General features: G+C 53.8%; 2 protein-coding genes across 9 annotated transcripts, besides 1 other annotated feature; both read left to right on the forward strand.

The window, feature by feature from the left end:
• The first annotated feature begins 2,266 nt into the window (after positions 1-2,266).
• Positions 2,267-5,861, forward strand: IL25 (interleukin 25). Of its 2 annotated transcripts, NM_172314.2 has the most exons (3): positions 2,267-2,433; positions 2,634-2,854; positions 5,083-5,861. In NM_172314.2, exons 1-3 carry the CDS (start codon positions 2,425-2,427, stop codon positions 5,336-5,338), a joined length of 486 nt encoding a protein of 161 aa, NP_758525.1. In that variant the 5' UTR covers positions 2,267-2,424; the 3' UTR covers positions 5,339-5,861. The 2 variants fall into 2 exon arrangements, with proteins under 2 accessions (NP_758525.1, NP_073626.1); NM_022789.4 differs by having other exon boundaries at positions 2,267-2,854.
• Positions 5,862-6,228: 367 nt separating this feature from the next.
• Positions 6,229-9,230, forward strand: CMTM5 (CKLF like MARVEL transmembrane domain containing 5). 7 transcript variants are annotated; one of them, XM_047430907.1, is made up of 6 exons: positions 6,229-6,518; positions 6,649-6,835; positions 7,807-7,959; positions 8,489-8,581; positions 8,757-8,841; positions 8,932-9,230. In XM_047430907.1, exons 2-6 carry the CDS (start codon positions 6,710-6,712, stop codon positions 8,943-8,945), a joined length of 471 nt encoding a protein of 156 aa, XP_047286863.1. In that variant the 5' UTR covers positions 6,229-6,518; positions 6,649-6,709; the 3' UTR covers positions 8,946-9,230. The 7 variants fall into 7 exon arrangements, with proteins under 7 accessions (XP_047286863.1, XP_047286862.1, NP_001275675.1 ...); XM_047430906.1 differs by having other exon boundaries at positions 6,229-6,265; NM_001288746.2 differs by adding an exon at positions 8,127-8,327 and having other exon boundaries at positions 6,504-6,835.
• Positions 9,453-9,522: an enhancer, noted in NCBI's record as "active region_8171". NCBI's record gives its function as "activates an Ori minimal core promoter by ATAC-STARR-seq in GM12878 lymphoblastoid cells {active_cell/tissue: GM12878}" and the evidence as "EXISTENCE:reporter gene assay evidence [ECO:0000049][PMID:35858748]".

Raw genomic sequence — 11,119 nt, forward strand, 5'->3', positions numbered from 1 at the left:
TTCTCAGGTCAGTCCTGGTCATCATGGGGGTGGGAAAAGCCAACCCTTCCTGGAGGGTTTCTCCCTCTGTCCTAGAGGGACACCCCAAAGGACTCTTCTGAAGGGCAACGTTCCTGGTGACCTAGGCTGGGTCCTCCCTGCAGCGTCAGCAAGTGAAACAGGTAGTTGGGATCACTTCTGGCTCCTTTGAACACCCCCTCCTGGGCAAGGGTCAAGATAGGAGATCTGAGCCAACTCCATTTCTACTACCTTCTTAGCCCTGAGGTTCTGATTGGTGAGAGCGAGACCCATAGGTATCCAGCTCTTCTGAAACGGCACTGCCTCCTAAGATCCTGTTCTGGGATTGAGGTTTTCCCAGGAGCACGGGAAGCCACCTTGAGGCCATGTCTGCCAGACAAAAGGCTAGGAAAGGGAGCTAGTGCAGTGAATCCGAACAGCAGGGCTGGATACCTAAGTGGGCAGACACACCCTGTGGCCCTCAGCAGGTGCAGTTGAAACTTGTCCCAACCCAAGCCCAGGTGAGCAGGAAAGCATTCACTGTGGGGCTCCCCTTCCATTCACAGCCAACTAGGGGTAGGCACGGTGTGGCACTTCCATGCCAGGAGGTTACATGTGGAATTGGTCAGAGCTGGAATGGGAAACCAGCTCAGCCTCTTTCTTTGTGATCTTGGGTAAGTTACTAAATTTCCTTGGGCCTCAGTTTCCTCATCTGTAACATGGGGATAATAGTTTCCATGTCATGGTTTCATTGTCGGGATAAAATGAGATGATGCATGCCCAGGGCTTAGCACCATGCCTGGCACATGTAAGTGCACAGGAGCTGAGGCCAGCAGGATATGGAAGGGAGAGGACGTCTGCGAGTACTGGGGGCAGAGGGTGAGGCAGTGAGAGTGGGGCCATGATACTGGCCTCATCACTGTTCCTGAGTGCCCCTGCTTTCCCAGCCACCACCTGCTTCTTCTAAGTGCCCTCCATCCCACAGTTCCAGGTGCCCCAAGACTCATCAGAGCAGAGCAGTTTCTCCCAATTTTCCAGATTGCCCTTTGACTTCATCACTTCTCTCTTTTGGGGCTGCTTTGCCCTAACGCATTGGAAAGATTCCTCTCACTGCAGTTTAAGTTATTCCTGGTTCCCTTTGTTGATTTCCTAGTCCTTGGTTACTAGAGGAGTATTTTCTAAGGGAAAGCACATGCAAATCAAGCCACATCATTCTAGGGGCAATGTCTGTGTATGGGTATGTTGGGTGCGTATGGGGGATGAGGCAGGCCAATAGGCAAGCATGAAGAGAAGGACCTGGGGGGAAGGACACACTGGCCCACTCTCAGCACAGTGTCTCCCAAGCAGGCTGGACCCGGCTGACCTGTGTCTTTGGGGTCAAGCCCAACTGTAAGCCTTTCTGGGGCACACATACACCCTCCTGGCTAACAGTGGCCCATGTTTCTGGACCTGCTGAGGCTGAGTGGGCTCACTTCATGGCCTGAAAGCAGTAGCTGACCCTGTCATGGGCTTGGTCCCCAAGGCTCTGTGAATGAGAGCAGGTTGGTTCCTGGAACTGAGACCTCCTTCCTGTTGGGTCTTAGGTGAGGCTGTTTCAGTTTCCCTCCTCTTCCTTGCTTCACCTTCTCATTTGTGCAATGGGGACACTCACCCACAGCTTCTTCCATCAGACCTTGCCCATCCAGCCAACAAACTTAGGAAGTCAGGGTCTTCCAGCAGCCCTGTGAGGGTAGGCTTGTATCCCCGGTGGGGGGCAGTGACTGGCGAGGGCAAGGGGGAGTTAGGGAGTGGGTCATGGACAATGGGGGAGAAGTCATAGCTGATGGGGGTCATAGAATTTTGGGGTCATTGAAAATGTGGAAGAGGTCAGAGAACAAAGGGGATGGGAGTCAAAGGATGTCTAAGGGAAAGGAAATAATCACGAAGGTGGATGATCAGAGGGACACCTGGGAAGAGGGGAATGGTGAAACCAGACCCTGGATGGGGGGAGCAGGGATCATGGAAACGAGGCCTCTTGAAGGGAGGCCACAAGACATTTCCTAATTTTGGCTACCAAACCAACCAGGGAAATCCCGCTAATGCCAGTTCACAAGAATGCAGAACAGCAGACTGTTATTGCTTTGACCCCATGGCCAGAAAAATTCAAAGAGCAAAGTTTACCCAATCAGCTACCAGGCATATAATGATGGTCATCACAACTTCCATGAGTATTGCATTTTAAGCAGCCTTTGGAAATACTTTCAGAGTTTTTTTGGTTTTGTTTTTTAACCTCAAGTCACTCCCTAAAAAGACAGTGGAAATAAATTTGAATAAACAAAACAGGCTTGCTGAAAATAAAATCAGGACTCCTAACCTGCTCCAGTCAGCCTGCTTCCACGAGGCCTGTCAGTCAGTGCCCCACTTGTGACTGAGTGTGCAGTGCCCAGCATGTACCAGGTCAGTGCAGAGGGCTGCCTGAGGGCTGTGCTGAGAGGGAGAGGAGCAGAGATGCTGCTGAGGGTGGAGGGAGGCCAAGCTGCCAGGTTTGGGGCTGGGGGCCAAGTGGAGTGAGAAACTGGGATCCCAGGGGGAGGGTGCAGATGAGGGAGCGACCCAGATTAGGTGAGGACAGTTCTCTCATTAGCCTTTTCCTACAGGTGGTTGCATTCTTGGCAATGGTCATGGGAACCCACACCTACAGCCACTGGCCCAGCTGCTGCCCCAGCAAAGGGCAGGACACCTCTGAGGAGCTGCTGAGGTGGAGCACTGTGCCTGTGCCTCCCCTAGAGCCTGCTAGGCCCAACCGCCACCCAGAGTCCTGTAGGGCCAGTGAAGATGGACCCCTCAACAGCAGGGCCATCTCCCCCTGGAGATATGAGTGAGTCTGCTGCCCCTCCCGAATGCCTGCCCTGTGTGTGCTGGCCAGGGTATGCGTGAGGGACCAGGGCAATTCCAGCTTACTTTCCCATTTTGATCTCAGAGGGGCTGTAAAGGTTTGGGAGTTAGACAAGGTCTGTATTTGAGTCCTAGCTCTGACTCTCATTGGATGATCTTGAGTCAATTCAAGTTTTCAAAACTCAGGGTTTTTTTTTTTTTCACCTGCAAAATGATATAATGCCCCATAGGCTAATGTGCAGATCAAATGAAATATAATGTATGTAAAAGTCTGTATTTATGTTGGTTCTCTCCTTTTCTTTTAAAACATCCCTATAATGGCCCATGTTTTTTCTGGGTAAAATATTAGGGAATAATGGCATGATACAGGCATGAAGCATCCCAATACCAATTGATACTGCCCTGGCCATGAATGGGTTAGTTATAAGCATACTAAAGGAGTGAAACCCTTAACTTTTGGGGGCAGCTGGCTGGCTGGAGCTGTGGACTGGATATCTTTGATCATGATCATGGGTACTGTATTCTTTCACTCAGTGTGCCACATAAATATTATAGTTCTCTATTTGTGCCATGATATGAAAAATATTAGGAAGTGCTGAAATATGAATGATGAAGCAAAATATTAAAAACTAGGGTCTTAGGGATTCCAGACATGTGATTTCACTTCTTCCTTCTAGTTCTGTCTTAGCATTGGCTTTGGGGGTAGATGGAGAAGTTCAGTGGTGGGGAGGGGGTCAGATCTAACTGAGATTGGATCTAGTGTGGACACTACAGGTCATGACTCTTTGGAGTGGTCTCAGAAGCTGGCTGGGTCCTGGGCCAAATCAGATGGCATGGGAGCTTCTTAGGGGAGGCGGGTGCCAGAGGTTAACTCAGCTGTCTTCCAGACCCCTTGCTGGGAGTCTGTGAACCCGAGAACCACTCAGGTGGCTTTCCCCAAAGTGTGTTCTGTGCAATGCTCATCCCATGAGCTGCTTCTCAGAAAAAAGTGATGCCAGGTAAACTTGGGAAAGACTGCTGTATCTCCTACCCCTTGGAGATTCATACTGTCATTGTACATTAAAGTCTGCAAGAAGTCTGTAGAAAGTAAACCGTTAAACTGGTGTTTCCCAAATTCATTTAAGCACCCAACAGGTGCAGGTGATTTATTAGGGAACCCACTTTGGGAAGTGATGTGCTAGCTAATTCCATTTGCCAGGGCTTGTCTGTGTGGGGAATGGTCCCACAAGCTGGAGACTGTCGCCTGCCAGACTAATGGAGTCGCAGACCTGTGGGACATCTACTTTTCAGTGTTTTTCATCTTTCTTTCTTTCTTTCTTTTTTTTTTTTTGCCATGAAATCCTTTCAGAATAAGTAAATAAGTCTTCCCATGCACTCTCAAGTATGCTTATAATATAAGCTTGCACAGCGTCTGGAAGAATGTGCAGGAAATAGTTGAGGATAGCTTCTTCTGGGGAGTGGGGCTGGTAGGGAGAGACTATTAACTTTCACTCTTTATACTCTTTAATACTTGGATGTCAGAGTGGTTTTTACTTTTGCAATAATGCTATAATAATAATAGAAACACCACCTAAAGTCCGGCCCGGTGGCTCATGCCTGTAATCCCAGCACTTTGGGAGGTCGAGGTGGGTGGATTACCTAAGGTCAGGAGTTCAAGACCAGCCTGGCCAACCATGGCCAACATCATGAAACCCCATCTCTACTAAAAATATGAAAATTAGCTGGGTATGGTGGCGGGCATCAGGAGAATCGCTCGAACCCAGGAGGTAGAGGTTGCAGTTGAGCCAAGATCGTGCCACTGCACTCCAGCTTGGGTACTCCGTCTCAAAAAAACAAAAACAAAAAATCAAAAAACAAACAAAAACACCTAAAGTGTAATCATTACAATAAGAAACCTCATGCTGAGTCAGATAGAAGCAGTGCTGGTCAATGGAGGCTAAGGCAGGAGCCTGCTCACCCTCCCCTGCCTCCCTCACGGTCCCAGGACCAGTTGGAAAGCACTCTGTCACCTGCTACCCTCATTTACAGTGGGGAAAATTTAATAAAGGAGGGAGGTGACTTGTTCAAAGTTACACAGCAAGTGGGTTCAGAACTGAGACAAGAGGCCAAGGCCCCAGACGGACCATTTCCTTCTTCTGGCACTCCCATGCCACCCCACCCTCTCTGTTTCCGGCCCATCTTTCCAAGGCCTGACAAGTGCCGCCCCCACAGGTTGGACAGAGACTTGAACCGGCTCCCCCAGGACCTGTACCACGCCCGTTGCCTGTGCCCGCACTGCGTCAGCCTACAGACAGGCTCCCACATGGACCCCCGGGGCAACTCGGAGCTGCTCTACCACAACCAGACTGTCTTCTACCGGCGGCCATGCCATGGCGAGAAGGGCACCCACAAGGGCTACTGCCTGGAGCGCAGGCTGTACCGTGTTTCCTTAGCTTGTGTGTGTGTGCGGCCCCGTGTGATGGGCTAGCCGGACCTGCTGGAGGCTGGTCCCTTTTTGGGAAACCTGGAGCCAGGTGTACAACCACTTGCCATGAAGGGCCAGGATGCCCAGATGCTTGGCCCCTGTGAAGTGCTGTCTGGAGCAGCAGGATCCCGGGACAGGATGGGGGGCTTTGGGGAAAGCCTGCACTTCTGCACATTTTGAAAAGAGCAGCTGCTGCTTAGGGCCGCCGGAAGCTGGTGTCCTGTCATTTTCTCTCAGGAAAGGTTTTCAAAGTTCTGCCCATTTCTGGAGGCCACCACTCCTGTCTCTTCCTCTTTTCCCATCCCCTGCTACCCTGGCCCAGCACAGGCACTTTCTAGATATTTCCCCCTTGCTGGAGAAGAAAGAGCCCCTGGTTTTATTTGTTTGTTTACTCATCACTCAGTGAGCATCTACTTTGGGTGCATTCTAGTGTAGTTACTAGTCTTTTGACATGGATGATTCTGAGGAGGAAGCTGTTATTGAATGTATAGAGATTTATCCAAATAAATATCTTTATTTAAAAATGGCCTAATCTGTATTTGGCATCCGTGGTGCCTGAACATCTCGCGGTCTCCCAGCCTGTCCCTTCTCCTTTCCACCATTGGCCCTCACCTCTGTCCACCCTGCCAGCTCTCTCCGCCCTCCAGAGTTTCCGCTGCACCCTCCCGTCCTCTCCCATCTCTGTCTCCCTGGCCCATCCCAAACACCAGGGTGGGGGCTAGGCCGCGCTCCCGGCATGCTGGAGAGACAGAGGCCCATTGAGGCATTGCAGCAGGCACAGAGCGCCCCCTTGTCCCCCAACAATCCGCCTTTGTCCTCCAGTCCTGGCTGCTGCAGCTTGGTCCTGGGGGTGCTGCCTGGGCTGGGCTCCAGCTCACACCCTCCCTAAAAGGAAATGGGAGAAAGGACCGGCCAAACAAGAGGGTTAAGGTTAGAGAAGGGGGACACAAATGTCTTCAGGCTTAGGTCCCTGGGGGCTCCCAGTCCTGCCCCTGTTCCTCTACTCACATCCCAGCTCCTCCCAGTTTCTTTTCGGACCTCCTCCTCTCCCCTTCCTTCTCTATTCCAGGCTGGGTTGGGCTCTAAGCAAGGGGAGGGATTAGAGCCTCCTTCCTCTCTGCCCCTCCCCATGGGTCTCTAGGGGGCTGGTGCAGGCAGCAGCAGAGGCACTCTGGGCAGCTGGGTGAGGGCCCATCTGGGCAAGGCCCCCAGCGCCTGCCTTCTCTCCCGGGGCCCTGTGGGCAAGCCTCCTGCTTCACTTTCAGGTTTCTCGAAGTGCCTTCTTGCTCCTGTCTGTTTCCCCATCCTGCCAGATTTCTGTTTCTCTTGCTGGGCTTTTGGCAGTAGGGGGCTGTGTTGGTGGGCCCTACGAAGATGCTCAGTGCTCGAGATCGCCGGGACCGGCACCCTGAGGAGGGGGTAGTTGCAGAGCTCCAGGGCTTCGCGGTGGACAAGGCCTTCCTCACCTCCCACAAGGGCATCCTGCTGGAAACCGAGCTGGTAACAGCTGCCTCCCAACCTGGTGCCTCCATCTCCCTGACCCCCGGCTCCTGGCCAGCCTTATGCCAGCCCCCAGCTCACCCTTCAGTAGCCTCCTTCCCCAAGCCCTCTGGACACCTCTCCTGCCCGCAGCTGCCCCTTCTTCGTCTCCTACTCTGCCTTCTTGCTGCCTCTCCACCCGGAGACATTTACAGCAGGTTTCAGTTGCAGCAGGAAGGACTGCAGTTAGACAGGGTGACTTTTTGGGACATTGAGGAAGCTTGAGACATAGGGATGGGACAGGGGCAATGACAGCCTCTAACATGGCCACTTCTCAGCACGTCCAAGAAGTCTAACTATCAAAAAGGGCAGACTTCCTGCAACTGCACTTTATCTGTGGTCTGCTGCCCAGAAACATCTCTTCTCAGGAAAGGATCTTCCCCTGGTTACTTAGCAAGACCACAGTGTAGAGTTAAGGCCTCTGCACGTATGCCACCCTAGGTCATCAGAGCTAAAGGGGCTCCCAGAAACCACTGGGCAGCATCTGCCTTCTCTCTTGGCATGGAATCAAAGGCTCTGGTCCTTGTCAGGGGGCTTTCAGGCATCTGGGGGTGGGGAAAGCATTATGAGGCAGGGGGCTCCTCTTGGTCCCTGTGGAGTCGGGTCTCTGTGGGCACAACTCCAGGGGCTGGCATTCACACTGTACCTATGAATTACTGTGGGATAGTGCTCCTGGGAGCCATATGGCTTGGCCAGACTGCTGGGGTTGCTGGGTGAGCAGAGTGGGAGGCCGGAGACTGCCCTTGACCGGCAAATGCCCTGCAACGGTGGCTCCTGACACCAGGGGATAGGGAGATGTGCCAGAGTCCTTCCTCCCCTCCAAGGACAGGTAGTAGGTGCCAGCCTAGGGGAGCTTCCAAGGAGGGGAAGGCAAAGCCCTGGCCCCTGCCTGTGTCCCCTTCTTGGCATGTTCCACATGCTCGGTCCTGCAGGCCCTGACCCTCATCATCTTCATCTGCTTCACGGCCTCCATCTCTGCCTACATGGCCGCGGCGCTACTGGAGTTCTTCATCACACTTGCCTTCCTCTTCCTCTATGCCACCCAGTACTACCAGCGCTTCGACCGAATTAACTGGCCCTGTCTGGTGAGGAACCCTGACCCCTAGCCCAGTTTGGGGCCCTTCCCTCTCCTCTAAATGATGCATTTTCCTTTCCTCCCCGAGCTTCTTTCCATTTCCACACCACAGCTGGGCTTTGTCCCATGCTATGCCCTGCACTCAAAGGTGTGCTTTGACTCACACTGATTTCACAGCTGCAGGGCCACGGGCAATCAGGAGGACCACATCCGCTAGATCTACTCTCCCACTCAGCAAAGGTCCAGCCCCAGCCCTGGCCTGGCTTGACCCCCCCGGGCTGGCATACTCCAGCCGCTGTCCCCTGGGTTCCAGCCCCAGCGCCTGGCTTCTGGTCCTGGTTGCTCTGGTTCATCTGCTTCCACTCCCTGGGTAGCAGTGTGAGCGCTCTGTCTCTTGAATGTGCTTCATATTGTGTGAGGGGTATCCTATGGAGGGGTTCAGAATCCCTCAGGGTCGGGCTGCTGGCTAGCCTGGAAAACTTCAGGGTAACGCCCCCTGCCTTCTGAGGTCCTGTTAACCCTGCACCCCTGGCCCCCAGGACTTCCTGCGCTGTGTCAGTGCCATCATCATCTTCCTGGTGGTCTCCTTTGCAGCTGTGACCTCCCGGGACGGAGCTGCCATTGCTGCTTTTGTGAGTTCAGCCCTGCAGGACTCCTTAGCCCCTCAAGAGCTCAGGCTGGTGCTTGCACACTTTCTGTATCAGAAGCCACAGCCAGGACTTGGGGTTCTGGCTTGCACCTCACCCTATACCTTAACCCAATGGCCCTATAGCCTCTGTTTTGCCATCCCCACTCCCACTCCCACAGGTTTTTGGCATCATCCTGGTTTCCATCTTTGCCTATGATGCCTTCAAGATCTACCGGACTGAGATGGCACCCGGGGCCAGCCAGGGTGAGTGCCTGTGCTCTGTGGAGAGGAGATGCCCTCCCCACCCTAGCTACCCATCCTGATGTGGGTCCCTACCTGGCTCTATCCTCACAGGGGACCAGCAGTGACTCTGGGGCTACCTGGCTCCTAGGCCCAGCCAGCCAGAGAGGACAGTGGAGCCCAGACACGTCTCCTTGGGATTCACTAGCCCCCAGCCCGCCAAACCCCACCCCAGCCCTACACAGCAGTCTGGCCTGAGACGTCACTGGGGACTTATCTGTGGAGCCTGGTGCTCCAGGATGTGGCTTCTCATGAAGCTCTGGCCAGAGGAGGGGAACTTATTGGGGGAGGGGGGGTGGAGGGGAGGAATCTGGACCTCTAAGTCATTCCCAAATTAAAATATTCAAATTCTACTGGTGAGTCTCTTTCTTCCCCAGAAATTAGGCAGGTCAGGAATGTCAAGGAGTATTCATGGGAATGTTGCCAGAGCAGGTCGTGGTCTGTCTCTGGGACTGGGTCTGAGCAGTGAGGATGTGGGGGCTAGCCAGAAGAAGCTGAAGACATCCTCCAACACAAAACTTCTACGCTACACCTCTGTGTGCACGGCCACTTTGTGGTGTGCCTGGTGGCTGGGCATCTGGAGTTCTGTGTCTGAGAAGGCACAGCCTTCCTCATGGGAGCATGCATGCACCACCACACCTGTTCCCGCAGGTTAGTGGGCTGGAGGCCAGGCGCTCGCCTGGGGCGTGTGCAGAGCTCCCCCTTGTGGTGTGGGGAAGACTTGGCCCACAGGACGCAGGGAGAGGGCAGCCTGAGGTATCAGAGGAGGGAGAGATTTCCCAAAATGCGAATGCTGGGAGAGCCGTTGATTATCAGCTGGTCCAATGCCCTCATTTCACATAAGAGAAAACAGGCCCAGCCAGGGGAGGTGAACTCATTTGTGACAGAGCTAGGGCCAGAACGCAGCTCTTCTGACACCTAAGCGAGTGTTCTGGATACTGTACTGAGCCTCCTTGTAGCTCAGAAAAGAATGGCCAACTCTTCCCTCCACTGCGGGTCCACCCTCCCAGCTTGCCAGCTCCTCAGCACACATTTCCTGAGCATCTCCCATGCACACTGTGCTGGGTGCCAGGGCCTCAGAGGTGACGGGGGGCCTGCCCTTTAGCACTCACAGGCTGGGAAAGAGACAAGCTGGTCAAGAGCTCCCCACAGTGAATGCTATGGGAAGGCTCAGGGGAGTTTGGAGCAGACACTGCCACAGCCCGGGAGTCAGCCCTGCTGGGCCGAGACAGACAGATGTGCAGCCAGACGTTCCTGCCCAGCCCGAGGAGCCCAGCATGGCCTGGCTCAGCAGCTCCATCCCAGCTGACGTGCTATCTCCTGTCGCTGATGTGTGTGTGTTCCCGCCCTGAGATACAATCCTTCTTCTGGAGCGCTCCTTCCAGCTGCAGGCCCCAGCTCCCAAGTCCTGCCCGAACCCTGGATCTTGAACTCTGGTCAGAGCGCTCTGCTTCCTTGGTGGCAGCCACTCCTCTCTCTTGGTCTTTTTCCTGCCTCCTGCTTCCTGTTCTCCTATCCTTGTGTCCTGGCTCACCATCAGAACTGGCAGCCTCTCCTGGGCTAGAACCAACAGGATTTTGTGTTTCTCTGGTCACTGCTCACATTTCTCAGGGCTTTATGCACAGTCCATTCTCATGGTCTCAGAGGAGGGATAGAAGAGGCTCCACTTGGGGAGTCAGGGAGATGGGGTGCCAGGTGAACGGTTAAGGAGGCGGTCAGCAGAGCCTGGCTGCAAAGCCCAGTGGGGAGTGGGGATTTGCTTTGTGCAGAACGGGGTCAGGACCGGGCCTGTCCCACAAGCAGCTGTGTGATCCAGGCCAGACTGTCCCCAGTAGGAGCTTAGAGAGAGCAGAAATGTGACCACAGTGTTTCCCTGTACAGGCACCTGTGCCATCTGTGTCTGTGTGAGAACCAACATGAAATGAGCAATGCCCAGGCTTGGTCCTCATGGCATATTGGTTTGGGCTCAGTGTTGATTGGCCCCAGAGTCTCAAGATGCCCTCACGGTGAGGTGCTGAATCATAGGAGGCAGGGGGAGACCCCTGGGGAAGACAGGGAGGGGGCTCCCTGGGAGTTACTTCCTAGGGGCTGACTAGAATGGAATCTCTCCCATCTCCTTTCCCATACCTTAATTCTCAGCCAGCTCTGAGCCTTTTCTGGCATTGGTGGAAAATTCATTTCAGAAAGAATGGGTGTCCTAGGACACCTTTAATCATTGCAGCCTCAGGGGTGGGGTAGGTGG

This window comes from Homo sapiens, chromosome 14, assembly GCF_000001405.40.
Source record: "Homo sapiens chromosome 14, GRCh38.p14 Primary Assembly".
Lineage (NCBI taxonomy): Eukaryota > Metazoa > Chordata > Mammalia > Primates > Hominidae > Homo > Homo sapiens.